General features: G+C 42.5%; 1 protein-coding gene across 6 annotated transcripts, besides 5 other annotated features; it reads left to right on the top strand.

Moving 5' to 3' along the window:
• Positions 1-493: 493 nt before the first annotated feature.
• SNX12 (sorting nexin 12) lies at positions 494-14673 on the top strand. 6 transcript variants are annotated; one of them, NM_001256185.2, is made up of 5 exons: positions 494-643; positions 5598-5778; positions 10971-11066; positions 11953-12077; positions 12802-14673. In NM_001256185.2, exons 2-5 carry the CDS (start codon positions 5614-5616, stop codon positions 12902-12904), a joined length of 489 nt encoding a protein of 162 aa, NP_001243114.1. In that variant the 5' UTR covers positions 494-643; positions 5598-5613; the 3' UTR covers positions 12905-14673. The 6 variants fall into 6 exon arrangements, with proteins under 6 accessions (NP_001243114.1, NP_001243117.1, NP_037478.2 ...); XM_047442038.1 differs by lacking the exons at positions 494-643; positions 5598-5778 and adding exons at positions 6853-6914; positions 9209-9335; NM_001256188.2 differs by lacking the exon at positions 494-643 and having other exon boundaries at positions 5586-5766.
• Positions 5371-5590: a silencer, noted in NCBI's record as "silent region_20894". NCBI's record gives its function as "represses an Ori minimal core promoter by ATAC-STARR-seq in GM12878 lymphoblastoid cells {active_cell/tissue: GM12878}" and the evidence as "EXISTENCE:reporter gene assay evidence [ECO:0000049][PMID:35858748]".
• Positions 5371-5623: a biological region, named in NCBI's record as "ReSE screen-validated silencer GRCh37_chrX:70288147-70288340".
• Positions 5430-5623: a silencer, noted in NCBI's record as "fragment chrX:70288147-70288340 (GRCh37/hg19 assembly coordinates)". NCBI's record gives its function as "represses an EF-1alpha promoter that drives an FKBP-Casp9 reporter gene in an ReSE screen in K562 erythroleukemia cells {active_cell/tissue: K562}" and the evidence as "EXISTENCE:reporter gene assay evidence [ECO:0000049][PMID:32094911]".
• Positions 20141-20200: an enhancer, noted in NCBI's record as "active region_29735". NCBI's record gives its function as "activates an Ori minimal core promoter by ATAC-STARR-seq in GM12878 lymphoblastoid cells {active_cell/tissue: GM12878}" and the evidence as "EXISTENCE:reporter gene assay evidence [ECO:0000049][PMID:35858748]".
• Positions 20221-20270: an enhancer, noted in NCBI's record as "active region_29734". NCBI's record gives its function as "activates an Ori minimal core promoter by ATAC-STARR-seq in GM12878 lymphoblastoid cells {active_cell/tissue: GM12878}" and the evidence as "EXISTENCE:reporter gene assay evidence [ECO:0000049][PMID:35858748]".

The following is a 22437-nucleotide window of genomic DNA, read 5'->3' as shown; positions in this document are numbered from 1 at the left end:
CAACCCCATTAACATGCATAGACACTCACACACTTATGCTGCTGCCACTTTTTCCCAGATTGCCCTCACCCCTAGGCGACTTAGAGATACTTTTGTGAAATAAATACAATCACCAACTTAAGTAGGCAGGTTGAGTGTTAAAAGGGCACTTCATCAACATAGGGAGACAACTGACAACTTTCAGAAGGGATTTAGTTTAAAGTAGACTATCCCCAGGGAGGCCTCAGGTGAAATGAACGTCAAGAAGGGAACAAATCACTAATGGTAATAGGCAGCTGGATGGGTGTGTGTGGAAAGGAATGGGGTGCTCCATAGAAAGGCAGTTAAGCTCTGAATCCAGATCCCCTGGAATACAGATTGTATGGATATGAGCTCTACTCTTGTTTTCACCAGTCTACTACCTGTTTTTACAACCAGACCCTCCCCTCTTACTCCCTCCTTGCAGTTCCAGCTTCCTGCTCCCAGGAACACAAACACCCCAAATTACAGGGGCTTTTGATTGCCATTTCCTTGGGACAGCCTGAAGAGAGAATCGAAAGAAGTTCTTTTCAGTATGGTTGCATAACATCGAGTCGGAGATTGTGAAATGTCCTTTGAGAAAAATGTACGGGCAGGAAGATGAATAGGTGTCTGTTTGATTAAGGTACAGTATTGCCTGTGGGCAGGATGATGAACTAATGAGATTCCATACAATTTAAAGGTCCTAAATCTCCATTTCTCACCGCCCCCATTCTTGACTCCTTTTGGCCAAGAATCACTGTGGTCAAGGAAACGCAATAGAGAGGAAAGTGCACATCAAGTTCTGATGTCACCTGTTTGTCAAGAGATTTGACTCAGCTACTCTTTGTGTGTGTGTGTGTGTGTGTGTGTGTGTGTGTGTGTGTATGTGTGATAACTGAGGTACAGAGGATAACTGTGTTTCACCCAACATCACTTAGTAACTCTGAACTTCTGTGCCTGCCATGAAAAATAAAAAGGGTGCTCTGTGTGTGTGTGTGTGTGTGTGTGTGTGTATGGAAGCCAGCTAGCTGTTATTGCCTTATTAATGCAAAGGACTTAATTAGCCCAGTACCCTCTACTGTCCTCTTCTTTTCACCCTATCAAAATTTTCCCTCAAAGATCATTTATCATTTATTTACACCTCATTGTGAATTTAACTTGCACAATTCTCCTAGGGCCATTTGATTTTAAGCCTTATCTTGTCACTCACCTATATATTTAACTTTCTATGGAATTGGTCCCTCTAGCTGCTAAACATATTTAAATCTCTCCTATCCTAAAAAACAAATCCTTCTTTGACTATGCATGGCTCTCTAGCTACAACATTTCTTTCTTAGGCAAGTTTCTCAAAAGATTCTCTACTAAATGTTTCCACTTCTTTACCTCTGATTCAATTCTCAATTCACTATGATCTGGATTCTACTCCCAGGACTCTACTGAAACTGTTCTCATTTAAGTAATTATTTAATCTAGTGGACATTTCTCAGGGCTTATCTTATTTGACCTTTCTACTATATTAAACACTATTAACCACCTATTTGCTCCTTTGAGAAACATTTTTATTCGTTGTCTTCAGATCATTATTGTCTTCTGGCTCTCTTCCTACCTCTCTGACCACTCCTTCCTGATCTCCTTCACGAGCTTTTTTTTTTTTTTTTCCCCAAGATGGAGTCTTGCTCTGTTGCCCTGGCTGGAGTGCAGTGGCTCGATCTCGGATCACTGCAACCTCCGCCTCCCGGGTTCAAGCAATTCTCCTGCCTCGGCCTCCCAAGTAGCTGGGACTACAGGCACATGCCACCTCGCCCGTCTAATTTTTCGTATTTTAGTAGAGACAGGTTTTCACCGTGTTGCCCAGGCTGGTCGCAAACTCCTGCACTCAGGCAATCAGCCCGCCTTGGCCTCCCAAAGTACTGGGATTACAGGCGTGAGCCACCGTGCCCGGCCCACAAGCTGTTCTTTTCTGTGCCTGCCCTTTAATGGTTTTCCCAAATGGAAATAGTTTTACATTTTCTGGTTAAAAAATAAATGTAAGTTTATTGTTAAAAAATCAGATCCTTTAGAAAATTATAAAAATATAAAATCCAACTGAAACCCCACCACACAGAGGTAACCGCTGCTACATTTTGGTGCATGTCTTTCCAGACTTTAAAAATTATATATAAATAATTATTTATATATATAAATATATATTTATATATATATTTATATATCTATATATTATATATTTATATATAAATATATTTATATATAAATAATTATATATAATGATATAGATATATAAATATAAATATATAAATATTATATATTTATATATAATATATATAAATATTATATATTTATATATATAATATATAAATATTATATATTTATATATAATATATATAAATATAAATATATATATAAATTAATATATAAATATAATAATTATATATAATATAAACTATAATAATTATATAAATATATAATTATTTATATTTAATTATATATAATTATATGTTTATATTATTTATATATTACATTATATTATTTATAATTATAATTATTTATATTAATTATTATATATAAAATATACATTAATACAAGTGATATCATACTACAATATTTTTTGCCAGCTTTTTTCACTTTTTCATGGACATCATTCTGTATCAACAAGCATAAGAAATTATTTTAAATGGATAGATAGGGGAACTGTAAATTAGGCCATTTACACAAGATAGTGAAATTTATGATGGAAGTGACTAAGATAAAAAGCCTTGTAAAATATAAAATCCACTACCCCTTTATAATACTTGTTATATAAGCAAATTCACAAATTAGAAAAAAAGACTACACAAATATTGCAGAAAATGAACAATTATTTGCTCTTAAAAACAAGAACCTTACACTGGTATCTTTATGTGATTATCTGATTATTTTCTGAGGATAAATTATTGGAAGTAAAACTTTTGAGTTAAAGATTTTGGTAAATAACATTAAAAATAAAAAATACAAAGGCATTATACTTAAACACAGTTAATGAAAAACAACCCTCCCTGCCGTCTGTGACTTCTTTTCTCCAGTTCTGCTCTCCAGAGACAACCAGTATTACAAGTTTCTTCAAGTCAAAGTTTAAAAAAAAAATACATACTGCCAATCTATTTCCCAGAAAGATTGTACCGATTCACATTCCTACCAAAACTGCATGCCCTCACCAACTTTCAAATCTTCTGTCCTTGCCTCTTCATGTTTTTCTTTCTACATGGTATGCTGATGACTCTCATATCTCTATCTCTCTAACCCTGACCTCGCCCTCGAGCTCCAGGCCAGTATTTCCAGCTACTCGCTGGACATCTCCACCTGGATGTTCTACAGACACCCCATATTTATCTAAACTGAACTCATTTTTTACAGATGAGGAAAACTGTTTGTATAATTTGCTCATGGTTATACAGCTAGAAAGCAAGGATTTAAACCCAGGCAGCCTAAGTTCATGGGTCACACATTTAAGCCCTACACTATACTACCACCATATCTAATCACGTACAAGTCGTATCTATTTTATTTCTTCAATCTCTTTCCTATCTCTTCCCTCCTCTCCATTGTCACCATCACCACTTGATTCGGAGTCTTATTGTCAATACCTTCATAATTCAACTTAAATATACCTTCCATGTTGTCTACAAAACAATTCTTCTAAAACATAAATCTGATCATGTATTTTTCCTGCTTAGGATCCTTCAGGGACTCCCTATCACCTACCAGAAAGCTTTGTATCACCTATCATGAAGTCAGAGATCCTTTACTTAATATAAGCGGATCATCCTTTGTCTGCCCATCCCTAGCCAGTCTACCTTTCTAAACACTTCCATCACACAGTCTGAATTGGCGATAAATGCCTAAAAATGCTCCACTGTTTCTTATCGCAAGGACTTTGTGTATTCTTTCTTTCTTTCGCTCTCTCTCTCTCTCTCTTTTCTTTTCCTTTTCTTTCTTTCTTTTTTTGATGGAGTCTTGCTCTGTTGCCCAGGATGGAGTGCAGTGGCATGATCTCAGCTCACTGCAACCTCTGCCTCCCGGGTTCAAGCGATTCTCCTGCCTCAGCCTCCTGAGTAGCTGGGATTACAGGCGTGTGCCACCATGCCCAGCTAATTTTTGTATTTTTAATAGAGACAGGGTTTCACCATGTTGGCCAGGCTGATCTCGAACTCTTGACCTCAAGTGATCTGCCTGCCTCGGCCTCCCAAAGTGCTGGGATTACAGGTGTGAGCCACCGCGCCCGGCCTGCATATGCTGTTTCTTATTCCAGAAATTACCTTTCCCTATTTCCACTCCTATTTGTCCTTTATGTCTTTTCATGTCTGTTAAACTCAGATGTTTCCTCCTCCAGGGGAACCTCCCCTAATTTTTCCAGTTATACATTTCCTATGTGCTGCTTTGAACATTTACTTATTTTGTATTTGTCGCATTATATTAGTTTTGTTTACTTGTCTCCCTTGCTAGAATGTTAACTCCTTGAGGGCAGGGACTCTTATTTAACTCCAGGATTTTAGTGTTTAGCATGGTGCTTGGCACGTATTTGCTTAGTGGATATTGGTTAAATTGAATTAAACAGCAATTGTGAAATTGTAGGGCCTCATACTCTGTTGAAAGAATTTCAGGCATCAGTGATATGGGAAATATTTTTTGAGTAGAGGAGGGCAGGGGAAAGGTGGAGAAAGGATGACCTGAAATCATCACCCAGTCTACCCTTTAATGTGGAGCATATGTAAATTAGTCATATAAATATTAATATTTCTATAGATATTCTCATGTAAACATTTATTCTATCTCCATTATGGGTTGCAAGCAACCTCAGAGCAGTGCCAAGTATGGAGTTCTGCGGAGTAGAAATAGAAGGTATGAAATAAGTACCCTCAATTTGCTGATAAATGTAAGATTGAGTACACCTGGAGTGTGGCAACAAGGAGTAAGATATGCCCAATTTTCCTGAAAAGTAAGAGAGAAATGTCTTTCTTTACCCCATCCTAGTTGCTTGCTGCTTTCCTGGCGCCATACGTAGTGCTGAGTGCGCCATTGTGTGTGGCGTGAACTGAAACCATCAGTGGCACAGGTGGGACGGCTACGTTATAGGTTCTCAGTACTATTGTTGGAACCCCACCCTCCATAGACCACCCTTCTATTTTCGCGGAAAACCAGGACTTATTCAGGTCACTGGGCTTCGGCCTATCACTGTAGGAGCCTGGCTCACGGGGCAGTGCCCACTGTTGATTGATACACGGTACGAGACAATTTCTTGGGTTGAGGAGCCGCGATTGGCGGAGCCAGCCTGTGCTGCTAGGCAGGGTATTGGGTACTGCGTATTGGGGATGCAGGTTCCCGGGTGGCCACAAACATCACCCGGAAGCCTGAATATGGCCTCCACTCTACAGGGCGCGCAGCAGTCAGCACGGCCGCTATTCAGAGCCCGGGGCCCAGGCCCGTGCGGCGTGCGCGTGCGTGCGTGGGCGCGCGTGCGCGCCGCCGCCGCCTGTGGGTTGGCTAGTTATTTTGCAAGCGGGAGGGGCCGTGCGCGCTCCTGCCTCAGGCCTCTGTCCCCCACCCCCTTTCCCCGGTCCCAGGCTCTCCTTCGGAAAGATGTCGGACACGGCAGTAGCTGATACCCGGCGCCTTAACTCGAAGCCGCAGGACCTGACCGACGCTTACGGGCCGCCAAGTAACTTCCTGGAGATCGACATCTTTAATCCTCAGACGGTGGGCGTGGGACGCGCGCGCTTCACCACCTATGAGGTTCGCATGCGGGTGAGTCACGGGGTGAGGGAGACAGCTGAGGGAGGACCGGGCGGCGCGAGCGGGAGGGGGGAGGGAGGCTACCGCGGGGGCAACTAACGGCGGGGAAGACGCCTTAGGGGTCATTTGGGGGTTAGGGGTATAATAGGCTTGGAACGAGGTCTGCCGATTCAGTTGTGGCCGGAGGATGCAGAAAACTCCTGAGGGAGACATCGGACGGGGATGCAGGAAAGCTACCCATGAGGAAGTGAAGCATGGCTGGATAGGGTGGGGTGGATGGAAAAAGATTAGAGTGAGGAATTCAAGGAGATAGGAATCACGGCTGTAGCGACTGAAGGAAGGGAGGGAGGATGGAAGAGGGCTGGGGGATGGAAAGCCAAGGCGATATATCGCTGAGCTCCATAACTAAACTAGGTTGTGAGAAGTCTGAAGAGGGAGGGCAGGAAGGCCGGCTGCTTTCTAATGAGGTCTCCCTGGGATAATGGAGTAAAGCAAAGCCTTGAATTAAAGGGAAGGTAGATTCCAGAAAAGGCAGACAGTAGGCTTGTGGGAGCAGAAATAAGAAAGGGAGTCTCCTTGAGACCGAGCGCTTTCCTAACTTGTGTCGGATCAGCATCTGAAGGAGAGAAATGTTTTATGCTTAAGTTTTCGCAGATACTACGTGCTGTCTCGCCTTGAAACCTGGCCTGGCCCTGGGATTGGTGCCTTGTCAGTCACTGCTTTCATTCTATGTGGATCCTTTAGATTTGAAGTATCCAGAATGTTTATTTCAGTATTTATTGACTCTCGTTTAGGTACTTTGTATATGAATGGCTTTTTGCCCTTTCTGTCCTAGATTACCCTTTTGGATTCTGACCCTGGTCTGTAGTTACTTTAATACATGACATTTCAGAATTGCCCAGGAGTGGCTTCTTCCAGCATGCATGATAGAGGACTTTACTCTCTAGTGCTTAGCCCATAATGCAAGGATGGAATGTGCAGATAGAGTACTTGGTTTGCAGGATCTTTTGCCCACTTGAAGTGGTTATAGGCAAAACAGTTTGAGAATCATTTTCTAGTTTTCCTTATGTTTTCTTCTCAGACTAAAAGGCCAGAATATTCTCTGTGGACAGCATCCTGCTCAAACAGCATTGAAGAACTAAAAGAGTGTATGTGCTTTCATTGTTGAAGGAGTGAATTGAATGAGAAATTGTGGTCTCCTACTTGGGCTTTGAAATCTTATTGAGAAATTATGATTTCCAGATTCCAAGTTTGGCAAAGTCCAAACTGAAGAAAGAAAAGTGAATAGCAAAACATGAGAAACACTTGTCTATATAAGAACTATGTGAAATCATGTCTTTGGGGGAGAATGGAATTTAGGTCCTTCAGAATATGATAAAAGCAGGAAATTGTCAGTGCTGGAGAACTTAGTTACCTGAGGGAGCTTGGGCATGACTAGTACAGCATAAGGGCTGTCTGCTGTGGGGTTTTGGAGACATTCAATGCATTACCCAAGAGTCTTAGGGATTCTGAATGAAATCGCTCTTTACTCAGGGTATTCTTTTTTTTTTTTTTTTTTTTTTAAGAGATGGAGTCTCGTTCTATTGCCCAGGCTGCCGTGCAATGGTGCAATCTCGGCTCGCTGCAACCTCCGCCTCCTGGGTTCAAGCAATTCTCCTGCCTCATCCTCCCGAGTAGCTGGGATTACAGGCACATGCCACCATGCCTGGCTAATTTTTGTATTTTTAATAGAGACGGGGTTTCGCCATGTTGGCCAGGCTGGTCTTGAACTGCTGACCGCAAGTGATCCTCCTGCCTCGGCCTCCCAAAGGGCTGGGATTAGAGGCGTGAGCCACCACGCCTGGCCCTACTCCAGGTATTCTAATAGCAACAGGGACTGTTCATCTAGTGCCTACTGTGTACCAGGCACTGAACTAGGTTTTAATTTGTGTTAATCCTTACAGAACTTCGTTTTACACATGGGAAACTGAGGAGGAATGCAGTTTAAGTAACTTGCCCAAGTACACGTAACTATAACTGACAGGGCTGGAATTTGAACACAAATATGTCTGACTCCATATTCTTTCTGCTACACTTCTGTCTCCTTGACAACACTTAGTAGCAAAACTTTAGCATGCAAAATTTTTCTACTCACTAAACTTTTAATCGGTCCCTTCCACAATTTTTTTTTTTTTCGAGACAGAGTCTCGCTCTGTCACCCAGGCTGGAGTGCAGTGGCATGATCTCAGCTCACTGCAACCTATGCCTCCCAGGTTCAGGCGATTCTCCTGCCTCAGCCTCTGGAGTAGCTGGGACTACAGGCATAAGGCATGGTGCCACCACACCTGGCTAATTTTTTTTTTTTTTTTTGAGATAGAGTTTTGCTCTTGTAGCCCAGGCTGGAGTGCAGTGGCATGATCTCGGCTCACTGCAACCTCTGCCTCCCGGGTTCAAGTGATTCTTCTGCCTCAGCCTCCCAAGTAGCTGGGATTACAGGCATGTACCACCACGCCTGGCTAATTTTTGTATTTTTAGTAGAGACAGGTTTCGCCATGTTGGCCAGGCTGGTCTCGAACTCCTGACCTCAAGTGATCCGCTTGCCTCGGCCTCCCAAAGTGCTGGGATTATAGGTGTTAGCCACCATGCCCGGCCTAATTTTTGTATTTTTAGTAGAGATGGGGTTTCGCCATGTTGGCCAGGCTGGTCTCGAACTCCTGACCTCAAGTGATCCATCCACCTCAGTCTCCCAAAGTGCTGGGATTACAGGTGTGAGCCACCACGCCTGGCCTTGTTTATTCTTTTTTTTTTTTTTTTTTTGAGACAAAGTCTTGCTCTGTCACCCAGGCTGGAGGGCAGTGGCATGATCTCGGCTCACTGCAGCCTCCGCCTCCTGGGTTCAAGCGATTCTCCTGCCTCACCTTCCTGAGTAGTTGGGATTACAAGCACCTGGCTAATTTTTGTGTTTTTAGTAGAGACAGGGTTTCACCATGTTGGCCAGGCTGGTCTCGAACTCCTGACCTCAAGTGATCTGCCTGCCTCGCCTCCCAAAGTGCTGGGATTACAGGCGTGAGCCACCGCATCCAGCCCTTATTTATTCTTTTAAATAAATAATGGTTTAGTAATCTTACTTTATATGAATCTCACTCCATTTCAACCTATTGACATTCCTTGGACCTTGACGATCCTGGATGGAGTTTAATGTACAATTGGCCAGTTATTTGGCTTTTGATGGCCTATTTGAGAACTGGATCCTGAAAAGACAATTTCCAGTGTCAAGGAGTACAAAGCATGATGTAGTGGGTTCTGTGTGAAGCTCTAATGGAGTTTCGAGTTGCTCTTTTCCTGCCAAGAGGCAGTTGTGGAGAAAGGAGATAACTAGTTTATTTTATTCATCCTCTCACCTGAATTGACTGGCAGTAAATATGGTCAGTATTAATACATGTGGTTGGCCATTTCTATTTAGAACTTGTAGACAGGAGTGAAGATCAGGGTTTTCTGTCAGGGGATTCGTGTTGCCACTAGAGCCTTGGGAATCTTCTCAGTGTTTAAAATGTGGGAATGAGCTGATTTATATCAGGGAGCAAGCTATGGTAAGCCAACTTTTGTAATGGTGATTTCTTATGCATTTTCTAGATGAGGAGAGGATAAACAGACACATAGAGTCTCTATTAATCAATTGAGCATTTATTGAGTAACTTGCATATTCTGCATTTTAGAAGATGCAGAAGTAGTCATAGTTTCTGATCTTAATGAGATTAGTTAGTTAGACAAGGCAAACATGATGCATAAAACAATAGTGTATCAGGCAATGCTAAAGTATAACTGTCAGAAGAGTTCAGAGAGGAGGAAAACCAATAAATCCAGTTGTTGTTGTCAGAAAATTTTTTTGTTTGAAGTGAGAGTTGAGTGAGCACTGGTAGAATGGAGAGGATTTGGACAGGAAGAGCAGAGGTAGGCATACCTTGGATGTGTTTATCTCTTTACAGGGAATTTAAATTCACTTTTTAAAGGAAAATGTAATATGTACACATGATAAATTCAAATTGTACAATGAAAAATGTGACTATTCCACCCATTCCAGTTGTCTTCTCTTACTCTCGAAAGTCAATCACCATTACCAGTATATTTTCATAAATACTTTATTAATCAGTATAAATATATACATATACATCCCTTTTTAAAACACAAATAGAGGCAAGCTATATATATATACTGTTCTATACCTTGATTTTACTACTTAATATCTTTCCATACTGGCACATAGAGATCTTTCATTTTTATTTCGAGAGACAGAGTCTCTGTGCCAGATTACAGTAGCATAATCACAGTTCACCATAGCCTTGACCTCCTGGGCTCAGGTGATCCTCCTGAGTAGCTGGGACCACAAGCGAGCACTGCCACTACACCTGGCTTTTTTACTTTTTGTAGAGATGGAATCTTGCTATGGTTGCCCAGGCTGCTCTCAAACTCCTGGGCTCAGGTGATCCCTTGCCTCGGCATCCCAAAGTGCTGGGATTATAGGTGTGAGCCACTGCACCTGGCTTTCACATTCTTTTCATAGTTATTTAATATTCTACTATACAGGTATACCATAATTCATTGTAACCTATTGTCTATTCATAGACATTTATTATTATTATAAATAATAAAATGCAGTGAAACTCTTTTTTTTTTTTTTGAGACAGAATCTCACTCTGTCTCTCAGGATGGAGTGCAGTGGTGTGATCTTGGCTCACTGCAACCTCCGCCTCCTGGATTCAAGTGATCCTTTTGCCTCAGCCTCACAAGTTGCTGAGATTACAAGTGTGTGCCGCCACACCTGGCTAATTTTTGTATTTTTAGTAGAGACAGGGTTTCACCATGTTGGCCAGGCTGGTCTTGAACTCTTGACCTCAAGTGATCTGCCTGCCTTGGCCTCCAAAAGTGCTGGGATTACAGGCGTGAGCCACCAAGCCTGGTGAAAACTCTTATATGTACATATTTACATACTACTGCAAGTCTACTTGTAGGATAAATTCAAAGCAGCAAGGGACTTCTGATCATCAGCTATGATAAGGTTGGATGTGGTAAGGGTTGGTTTTTACCTGGTGGTGATTTGAAGGGGTTATAGGAGCATGATCCATAGGAGCTATTTCTTCATTGGGACCTGTCCAAGTTACTCAGACAGGTGGCTACCACAGGCTGAACATTACCATCTTTCTTCTTTAATTTTTCCTTCCATGTAGACAAACCTACCTATCTTCAAGCTAAAGGAGTCCTGCGTACGGCGGCGCTACAGTGACTTTGAGTGGCTGAAAAATGAGCTGGAGAGAGATAGCAAGGTATGGCTTTGTTCTCTGTGTGGCATCTTTGGAGGAGGAGCTCTGCATAGGCTGAGTGGGCATACAACCACAGTCTATAAAGTCTTGAAGGGAATGAAGAGGGTGAACACATTCTTATCCATCAAATCTCAGTATTTTAGATCGGGGGGATACCTTTTGAAACTTGAAAGTGGTAAGTTCTGGCTGGGCACAGTGGCTCACGCCTGTAATCCCAGCACTTTGGGAGGCTGAGGCGGGCGGATCACCTGATGTCAGGAGTTCAAGACCAGCCTGGCCAACATGGTGAAACCCCGCCTGTACTAAAAATACAAGAATCAGCCAGGTGTGGTGGTGGATGCCTGTAATCCCAGCTACTTGGGAGGCTGAGGCATGGGAATTGCTTGAACCTGGGAGGCAGAGGTTGCAGTTAGCTGAGATCGTGCCACTGCACTCCAGCCTGGATGACAGAGCAAGACTCTGTCTCAAAAAAAAAAAAAAAAAAAAAAGAAAGTGGTAAGTTCAGGACAAGTTTTTTTTTTAAAGTATTACTTCACTTAGTCGCTAGTAAAGTTGTACAACTTAATTCCTGTAGGTGCTAAAAATGGAAAGTCTAGTGTCAGGAAAATCCTAGCTAAATTCTTGAATGGTAGTGGCTTGTTAAGGAAAGTGAGGATTATTTGGAGTTTATTTCCTTCTTTTGAGGTGGTAAACCTGTCTTCCCACAGAAACGGATTAATTTTTGACCTGAGCCATCCTGACTGTTCTTATGGTCTTAGTTCTTGCAAGTTGCTGGCTGTGGGACAGGATGGACCCTATGCCTAATAAGAAATGAGGTACACGGTGCTTTACCATCTCATTCCCACTCTGTCTCTCTCCCATGTGGCTGGAATTTTGTGTGTGCCTGCAGATTGTAGTACCACCACTGCCTGGGAAAGCCTTGAAGCGGCAGCTCCCTTTCCGAGGAGATGAAGGGATCTTTGAGGAGTCTTTCATCGAAGAAAGGAGGCAGGGCCTCGAGCAGTTTATTAACAAGTAAGCCAAGTTCCTGGGGGCTCCACTTGCTACTTTTGCCATCGTAGTCTTTCTATATGTTTTGTTTACCTCACCTTTTATTTTATTTTTATTTACTTATTTATTTATTTGAGACAGAGTCTCACTCTGTCACCTAGGCTGGAGTGCAATGGTGTGATCTCGGCTCACTGCAACCTCCGTCTCCTGGGTTCAAGTGATTCTCCTGCCTCAGCCTCCTGAGTAACAGGGATTACAGGCGCCGGCCACCATGCCCAGCTAATTTTCATGTTTTTAGTAGCGATGGGGTTTCACCATGTTGGCCAGACTGGTCTCGAACTCCTGACCTTAAGTGATCCACCTGCCTTGGCCTCCCAAAGTGTTGGGATTACAGGCGTGAGCCACCGCACCCAGCTCACCTTTTATAATGGGTACCATGATGTGGTGCCAATTGTGTGGTGGGCTGACTGGACAGTAAAACTCCATTCCTTTGAGTAGGATTCTGATCCTGTGTGTCAGGGCCTGAGAAAGCACTGCATGTTGGTTATATCTAGGGATTTCCCTGTCTTGCCCCTCTATCCCCCGTCCCCTTTACAATATTAGGGTTGAGGTGGTACCCTACTGCTGTCCTCTACTGGCTTGAACCTCAGGGCTGACCTTGCCCTTCTTCCCCTGTCCACATCCCCATCCCTCTGCTAATTCTCTCTGATTCTGAATACTACTGATAACCATCCTGGTTTCTTTATAGAATTGCTGGGCACCCACTGGCTCAGAATGAACGCTGCCTACACATGTTCCTGCAAGAGGAGGCAATTGACAGGAACTACGTCCCGGGGAAGGTGCGCCAGTAGGAGCCCCTCTCACCACCTGCCCTCTACTTTCCTGCTGAAATGACATTGGTTTTTACACTAAGCCTCTCTCTGTCTTTGATCTGAAGTTGGCTGCCCATCTCCTGGCCTGATAGACTGTCTGGCATTGTGCTCCCTGGTACCTGACTACACCATGTGGGCACTCTGCTAGGATCCTCTTCTCTGAGGAGAGGTGGGAACCCACAGGCAGATGCCCTTTGCTTGGGGTTGGGGTGGGTGGGTGGGGGGATTAGACTGGAAGGCAATTTCTTGGGCATTTACCCATGCCAGAAGGCTAACCTGGGGGGAGGGGGGCGCTTGTGCTGGTGAGGCACTTGGATACATACTGATGCTGCAAGTTCAGGGGATTTTTCTTACTCTTAGGTTTAACCAAGAACACTGAGCAGGGAAAAACCCTGCCTTTCCTAACTGCATGTATTTTTTCCTTTTTGGAAAGGTGGTAGAGACTCAGAAGCTTTCCTTGTTTTCTTCAGGCCTGCTCCCAGTTTTCTTAACAGTTTCTTTTGTTGCTTTCTCTCTCCCTTGTTGCTTTCCATGGCAGTAATCCTCCTAGAGTCCAAGCAGTCTGTTGTATGGAGCAGGGTGTGTGGGTTTTCTGGGCCCATCATTATGGCTGCTTCAGAGTCAGAAGAAAGCCATAGGGCAGTAGGGGAGCTCCTATTGCCTAGCCCCTCTCCCTTTGTGGCTCCCACTCTAGCTGCCTATTTTTGCTCATCAGCTGGTGAGTCAGTATGGGCCAGCAGTTCTCCCTCCCTAAGCCCTTGCTACTTTATGGGTTAGCTTTGCAGGTTTGGTGGCTTGAGGGGTGGGGGCAACTCACCACTGCCAGGTAACTCCCTGAAGGGTGGGAGTGGATTATCTTCTAGGCTCTTACCCGCGGTAGGGAAGGGCATCAACACTGTCTTCCTTCCATTCTCCTTTCCCCCATCCCATTTAGTGCTGCCACAGGGCAGAAGCACACAAACCAACCACACAGTCTCTGACTTCTCCTAAGCACTTTGAGTTGTTGAATGGGGCTCAGGGGCAAGAGTTTTTGCTGCCCTCCCCAGCGTGGTCACAGGGTTATTGAACTGCCTGCACTTGTTTCTCATGCAACTCCAGCATTTTCCCCAGAAGTTGAACTATGGATAGCAGCTTGGTATGGATTTCCTAAATCTTAACATTTGAAGCAGCTTCTTGAGGCTGGCAACTATCCTGGTTTCTGTCTTGGAGGGGGTGGTTTGTTTGCTGGGGCCCAACGTCTGTCCCAAGTGGTGGGGTGAGAGTAAGTTAACTTTGGTGCCAGGTGAGAGGTGGGGGCTCTTTGCTTAGACTCCCTATCATGGAAAGATTGGAGTTTTCTATGCAGGGCACTGTGGAAAAGGATTGCTGATTCTGACTGACCCTGATCAGAGAGATTAGGATTGTATTTTGACATAGGATTTGGAACCCATCTAAATGTTGAAGTTCCCTGAGACAGCTCTCCAGCTGCTGAGCCTGCGCCAGGGGCTAAGCAGCCCCTAATGAGAGGCTCTGCTCCCTTTCCCACCTCGCCAATGTTGTTGTTGCTGCCTTTTTGATTTGTATCCTCTGTTATAGACATTTTTTAAAAACGATTTCCTCTTTCATTGTGCACAAGTGCTGAGAGTCTGAGGCCCCATTTCTGCTGTGTATATATATCCTGACTCGGGGCTTTTATTCAGCAAACTGTTCATTCTTCTGTCAGACAATGTCATATTCAACTCTGTTCATATTAAACCACTGTGAAGCAAGCCTCTGTTTTCCTGCTTAAGTTGTAAATTTAGTATTCTTTAGTGTCTAGGATATGCTGGGTATTATGCAGAAATCATACAGTGTGGCCAGTGTCCTGAGGTAATGTTTTGCATTTAAATTTTTTTAGAAAGCAGAATCTTAACTTATCTTAATGATATTTACCTATCCTTTTTGCAACTCACAACTGACTTTGTCACAGAGGTAATGCATCTGCTTGCAGGAAGTAGCTGTAGGCTCAGTACCTGTTGTTTGAGTCAGATTTAGCAGATTTGGTTTTTAAGCTTGTGGGTTTGTGCTAATTTGGGCAGAATATATTTATTATATATGTGTGTGTGTATGTGTGTATGTGTGTGTCTGCATATGTAATACATGTACATAAACACACATGCATGTGTTCATCCTCTGACACACCCACACAACACCAACAAACATTTCTTCTATAGGCTTTTTATCTCAACTGACACTGTTTTTTTTCCCAAATAAATTTGACACAGGCAGAAAGGTGGGTGAACTCTCAGAACTTTTGGTGGGTGGATATTCATCTGACCAGTGAGCTCTGAAATGGTTTCCCTACACAGAGTGGGTTTTGGCAAGGGTTGGAATGAGGGGAGGTAGCAGTCTTGTCATTTAGAAAATCAAAGCTAGTTTTGATGTAGCTCAACATGGAAAGAAGGTACAGAAAGTGATGTGTTCAAAACATTAGCAAATTAAGGCTGAATGTGGTTGGCTCATGCCTGTAATCCCAGCATTTTGGGAGGCTGAGGCAGGAGGATTGCTTGAGCCCAGGAGGTTGAGACTAGCCTGGGCAACAGAGTGAGACACTGTCTCTACAAAAAATTTCAAAAGAAAAAAAAAAAGGAAATTAATGTTACTTAGCAGTATTTGGTTCTAAGTAGAAGAGTGGGGGCTGTGAGGAAGTTGAGGTTTTTGGTAGTTCATGAATGAGATGACTAAAAATATCTGAGGGGATAGGGAAGAATGGGTATTTCTGTGAAATAAAGGAAAGGAAGGGTAAAGAGAGATGCAACCTTCATAGGCAGCAGTGTTAGAGAATGAACTGCAGAATAAATAGAAAAGCAGCTATAAAATAAAGTGTTAACAAAAATTTGGACAGATGACAACTCATTTAACAAGTGCTAATAGTCTTCTGTGTGTCTGGTCCTATGCTAACAGCAGGGCTGGGGATAGGGTGGAGTGGTTGTGGTACAAGTAAAATATGATATTACATTCTCTTTTTTCGTAGACCTTAAGAGTTCAGTTGAAGAGATGTTTAGCTGGGCGTGGTGGCTTATGCCTGTAATCCCAGCACTTTGGGAGGATTGCTTGAGCCCAGGAGTTGGAGACTAGCCTGGGCAACCGAGTGAGATCTCATCTCTACAAAAAAAAAAAAAAAAAAAAATTAAAAATCTGGCCAGGTATGGTGGCACATGATAGTCCCAGCTACTTGGGAGGCTGAAGCCGGAGGATTGCTTGAGCCCAGGAGGTTGTGGAGTGAGCCATGCAGTGAGCCATGATTGTACCACTGCACTCCAGCCTCAAAACAAAATGAAGAGATGTCTATACAAGGCAGGAAAATGCTAGAGACAGAGTAAGAGATTCAGGCACATCTGGTTAGTTGTCCAGTCTTTTTCTTTTTTAAAAATATCAGGCCAGGTAAATCTCCCTTGGATGTCAAATTGGCCATTTTGGCACATTAACTGGGCCAGGCAAGAATCCTAAATCCAAACCCTCTTACCCATTAACACTGAGGAGAAGCATACTTTTCTTTGATAAGGAATTCTAATTTACATGGGTATTTGCATGTTTACCACTAATTAATCCCCTTTATCTATAGTGCAGAAAGGGCTTAACCTTATGCTGGAACCTGGGGGACAGAGGCTAACGAAAAATTTTGAACATAGCTAGACCCAAAAGAAGTCTAAATCTTCACATTCCAAAGATGCCTTATCTACCCTTTGACCCATTCTTTGAGACAAGGAATTAAGCCAGTAAAGGTGGGAGAGGTGGATAACATTCAGGCTTCTCTGGAGTTGATAGTTATCCTACATGAGATACTTCTATGTTGAAGATATTCCTACTTCTATGTTGAAATATATGCTGTAATAATTTAAGTAAAATTACTTTCTTTTGTGGAAATGTAGAACAGCTGCTCACTGAAATGGATATTTCTTCATATCCTTGAAAACTGTTGAGTCACCCTTAGTATTCTCTTCTTAGATATAATAAGTTCTAATTTTTCCTTACTTGGCTCATTTTTAACCCTTTTATCTTTTTATTATTCTGAAATCTCTCCAAGGCCCTCACATGTCCTCAAGTTGTAGAGTCTTAAATTGGACAACACTTTAATTACAGCCTGAAGGTTAGGTAGTTGTTATTCCATTTATATATCTTAGTATTTGAGTTTACTTTTGAAATATAAAGTCTTAGTGACTAATTTAGCATGTGGTTCTCTGCCACTCCCTTCCTGACCACCCACCACCCCTCATTCTTATCTTCTTTTTTTACCTTGTTTGTACAAAAACCAGTTGTTGCCTATTTTATTTCTTCTGTCCATACCCTGTCTGTCTATGCATTTAAAAACAGAGAACTCATTCCTTATAAAACAGACAAACCAGGGATAATTGTCAACATCAAAAAAGAATTCTTTAAATCACTGCAGGCTTCCTTTAAATAGGTGTTTCCTGTGGTGGTTTTAAGTGTTTTTATATAGGTCATCAACTGCTTGATATAAAGAAACTAAAGATAAAGGGTTAAGAGGCAGTGCCAGTTGAAGAACAGTTAGAAATTGGGATAAAACAGTAGTTCTTAGGTAAACAGTAAAATACATTCAGATTCACAGAAAAAAAATATGTATATATATATTTTTTGAGATGGAGTCTCACAGTGTTGTCCAGGCTGGAGTGCAGTGGCGTGATCTCAGCTCACTGCAATCTCTGCCTCCCAGGTTCAAGCGATCCTCCTGCCTCAGCTTCCCGAGTAGCTGGGACTACAAGCGTGGCACCACCATACCCGGCTAATTTTTGTATTTTTAGTAGAGACGGGGTTTCACCACGTTGGCCAGGCTGGTTTCGAACTCCTGAGCTCAAGTGATCTGCCTGCCTCGGCCTCCCAAAGTGCTGGGATTACAGGCGTAAGCCACTGTACCTGGCCTGATTTATGTATTACTTTTCAAGAGAATGTTATACCAATAATATTTTTTGTCTAGATACAGTGAACTTTTCATCATCTGTACTAATGGAGGCATGTACATTTTAATTTTGTTAGGCATTTTTGTTGTAACATTTAAATATAGGGATGTCTAATCATAAAATTTAAAAATATTTCATAATTTCATCATACTGAAGACTCAGGAAGATCTGAAAAGAAACAGAAAGAGTACCAGACCTGGAATAGAAACCTGACTTCTAAAATTGGCTATATAGCTAGCTATAGGACCTTAGTTGAATTGCTTCACCATTTTAGGCCTGTTTTCTGAACTATACAATGAGGGATTTCGACTAAATGAGGGATTTTGACCAAATGATCTCTGAGGTATCTTAAATCTCTAGCTTTTTATGATTTCCCACCCTTGCCAAGGAGTTGAGTAAACATTGGAGGTGATGCCACCAAAAAAGTGAAAGCACAATTTTTCCTTTATATGATGGAGTTTGCTGTAGTGTAGTTTTCTCTTTCAGAAATGAACGATTATCCTGATTAGATTTTGTTTGCCCACATCCTGTTATATCAAGTCATGAGTATACCCCCATTGAAACTCAGAGTTGATTTGGTTTACAGTTGTTCTAATTGTATCCTAAGTCTTCTAGCTAAAATTTTAAAATGAAGTAGTCACCCCATGGCGTTATTTATTTATTTTTTGAGAGGGAATCTTGCTCTGTCGCTCAGGCCAGAGTGCAGTGGTGTGATCTTGGCTCACTGCAACCTGTGCCTCCCAGGTTCAAGCGATTCTCCTGCCTCAGCCTCCAGAGTAGCTGGGACTACAGGGGCATGCCACCACGCCCGGCTAATTTTTGTATTTTTAGTAGAAGCGGGGTTTCACCATATTGGCCAGGCTGGTCTCAAACTCCTGACCGTATGATCTGCCCACCTCGACCTCCCAAAGTGCTGGGATTGATTACAGGTGTGAGCCACTACGCCCAGCCCCCATGGAGCTATTTTTATTTAAAACACATACATTATAACTCTATTGATCTGATTACAAAAGTGCCTATTTTGTTAAAATGTTTTATTGTGATAAAAATTCAAAAATTATTAATGTTAGCCAACAAAATTCAAGCAAAACATAAATGTGTAAAGTAAAAAGTGAAAGATTTTTCCTTAGTCCCTCTCACCACTCCCATTCTCCAAGAATAACTTAATTTGGTGTGTGTCTTCCCAGATGTTGTTCTGTTTGTGTTTATATATTAATATACACATATATACATATATGAATACCCACACATTTGTATATAGGTTTTTTTTAAATGAAATGGGATATTATATGTACTGTTTTGCAACTTTTTTCACTTTGCATTGTATTCTGGACCTCCTCTTGCATTAATACATGGAAATTTACCTCATTTAAAAAATGACTGCATAACATTTCATGGTATGGTTGTATCACAATTTAATGATTCACCTATTGATGCAAATTTGTCTCCAATCATTCACTATTATAAATAATGCTACATATAACCTTGCTCCAGTGTGTAAGTATTTCTGTAGGATAGATTTTGAGAGAAGGAATTGCTGGGTCAAAAGGTGTGTGCCTTTTACTGTGTGTGTGTCTTTTACTGTGTGTGTGTGTGTGTGTGTGTGTGTGTGTGTGTGTGTGTAGAGATGGGGGAGGGGGGTGGTCTCACTTTGTTGCCCAAGTTGGTCTCGAACTCCTGGCTTCAAACGATTCTCCTGCCTCAGCCTCCCAAAGTGTTGGGATTACAGGCATGAGCCACTGCGCCTGGCCTCATTTTACGTTTTGATAGCTAAAGCTAAATTGCTTTCTTAAAGAATGCAGTTTAGGCTTCCAGTGACAGCAAATGAGAATGTTTCCCCACCCAAAGTGGGGAAATTCTGTTCACAAAAATTTCCTTGCCAAAAGTGGTAAAAATTTAAATAATTGATAATTATCCAAACTATTTGGTGAAAATCATATTTCATGGTTTTAATTTGCATTTTCTGGTACATTTAGTTGTAATGATACCACTGTCAGGTTTTAGTTTCCCCACACATTTACTTTTGGTCGTTCTAGAGGCAGTATCTATTGCTGCTAATTGAGGATACTGACCACTCTTCACCATAAATAAACCATCACACTTAATTAAAGGCCCTGAGTGTTTGTAAGTTTCTTCCCATCTGACTCTGGGGGAAGATGAAGCGATTAGCCTAGTGACAAAGCAACATTATCTGAGGCGCTCTCACAACCAGTACCTTTTTCAGATTGTCACTACTTGAGGTCAAGCCCAGAGCAGCACTGACAGCTCAACTACATGCTCTTCTGACCTCATGGGCAACCTGCTTTGATACTCGGGGAAATATTACTTTGTCTCTTGAGCCACCATCCCTCCAGCTTGGACCCCTTGTCTAGTTATTTCTCCCAGATCCATACGTTTGATTCCTGGCAGGGATGGAACAAGGATGGGGACCAAGATCATGATGGTGACCATAATAAGAGGTCGGATTACCAGGCCTTCTGGTTGGCTGTCCAAGTGTCAATCAGAAATAAGCTTTAATTGGTCGTACGCAATGGGAAGCACATACCTGTCGTACACAATGGGAAGCACATACCCTCTTCTGATTGGCCTCTTAGTTGAGGGGTGGATCACAGGGAAACCTGCTGGTTGGCTGGAATGGAAGACCAATAGGAACGCTGTGGCGCTGCTTTCGAAAGCGAGGCCTGCCCCGCGCCCCTGGAGCTGTCAGCGGGTTTCCTGGGAGCTCCAGAGGCCCGATTTGGTAACTGCGCTTTCCTGCAACCTAGGTATCCTCTACCCCGGTCACGCTTCTGGCGTCTCAGAATGTCTCTGGTTGTGCCGTGGTGAATGAAGCCGTAGTCCGCTTGTCCAGCCGTTAGGAAGGTCCTGCCTTAGGCTGCCGGTTTCGTTCCACAAACGCCAGCCTGGGGCTCTTCCTGAGATGGGGCCGTTGAAGTCATGGGCCTGGGCCTGGGGAGTGGGGATCAGGGACCAGGGAATGGGACAATACTTTGCGGGCCTCAGGATGAAGTTCTTTATTGCAAGCATTGTGGCCCGATTCGCGGCAGAAGCGGGAGAGGCTGCACTCTGCTGCTGTGAAGGCCTTTTTTGTATTAAGTCTCAGGAAGGGAGCAGGAAGTGTGTGACCCAGAAAGTTCCGCCATCTAGGTGGCCTCCACCATTTCAGCCAGCTGCCGCCTCTGTTGCCTGATTTCACCCCTTGTGGTTCCTTCCTAGACTCATCAGCTCTAAGACCACTGCAGTAAGTACATTAGCCCTTACAGCCCCTACTCAGAAAATCCCTTCTTCCTCAATGTCAGTGGGCTTGACCTCCTTGCTTTTATTTATTTTTCTAATTAATTACACCAGTACATTCTCCTTGTAAAAAAAAAAAAAATCAAAACACTATACATATATGGGGCTAACACTTTGGCCATTACGCACAATCCTTGTCCTCTTTCCCTCTTCCCCAGAGTAACTGCTGTTAACAGTTTGGTGTGTATCCTGGCAGCCTTCCAGGTCTTTTTTTCTAGTTATCGTAGAAAATACGTTGTGTTGTGTTTTTATTTTAACAAAAATTATACCCTACTGTACATACCCCACAAGTTTTTTCATTCAGTGTTTTGGAAACATTTTTATTTTGGTACATCTAGGTTTACTTTTTATTTTATTTTATTTTTTAGTAGAGATGGGGTTTCCCCATGTTGGCCAGGCTGGTCTCAAACTCCTGACCTCAAGTGATCCAACCGCCTTGGCCTTCCAAAGTGCTGGGATTACAGGTGTGAACAACCGCACCCGGGCAGATTTACTTCTTTTTTAAAAAAGTGATGTATTATGCCATTGTATGGCTATAAAACAGTTTATTTAACCATTTCCTTATTGATAGACTACTAGATTTTTTCAATATTTTGCTTTTACAAATGGTACTGCTATGAGCATTCCTGAACATGACAGTTTCTCTAGGGCAGTGGTTCCCAAACTTCTTGATTGCAGGACCCCTTGACATTCCTAACAGAATTTGTTTATGTAGGTTTATGGCTCTCTCTATTCAATGAAATTAAAACTGGTTGGGTGCGGTGGCTCACGCCTGTAATCTCAGCACTTTGGGAGGCTGAGTCAGGCAGATCACCTGAGGTTAGGAGTTTGAGAACAGCCTGGCCAACATGGTGAAACCCCGTCTCTACTAAAAATACAAAAATTAGCCCGATGTGGTGGCACACACCTGTAATCCCAGCTACTCGGGAGGCTGAGGCGGGAGAATTGCTTGAACCCGGGAGGTGGAGGTTGCAGGAGTCGCGCCATTGCACTCCAGCCTGGGTGACAAGAGCGAGACTCTGTCTCAAAAAAGAAAAGAAAAGCAAAATAACTTTTCCAAAGCAAGAAATGTTATTGAGAAGAGTAAAATTGTTTTGTTTTTTTTACAAGTCTCATTAATGTCTGGCTTAATAATAGTGGACATCTGGAGTCTCATATCTGCCTCTACATTTGATCTATTGGGATGTTTTGGTTGAGTATATCACACATATATTATTGTAAATGTACATGTAACAAAATTTACCATTTTAACCATATTTAAGGAAACATTTCAGTGGCATT

This window comes from Homo sapiens, chromosome X, assembly GCF_000001405.40.
Source record: "Homo sapiens chromosome X, GRCh38.p14 Primary Assembly".
In the NCBI taxonomy this organism is placed as follows: Eukaryota; Metazoa; Chordata; class Mammalia; order Primates; family Hominidae; genus Homo; species Homo sapiens.
This window is presented reverse-complemented; position numbering and strand designations above follow the sequence as displayed.

What these genes read in the sequence shown, in the direction of transcription:
- SNX12 (NM_001256185.2), top strand. Translation starts at nt 5,614, where the DNA reads ATGTCGGACACGGCAGTAGCTGATACCCGGCGCCTTAACTCGAAGCCG. An exon ending in AGCTGGAGAGAGATAGCAAG is followed by an intron (nt 11,067 to 11,952) that starts GTATGGCTTTGT and finishes GTGTGCCTGCAG; the next exon opens with ATTGTAGTACCACCACTGCC. An exon ending in CTCGAGCAGTTTATTAACAA is followed by an intron (nt 12,078 to 12,801) that starts GTAAGCCAAGTT and finishes GTTTCTTTATAG; the next exon opens with AATTGCTGGGCACCCACTGG.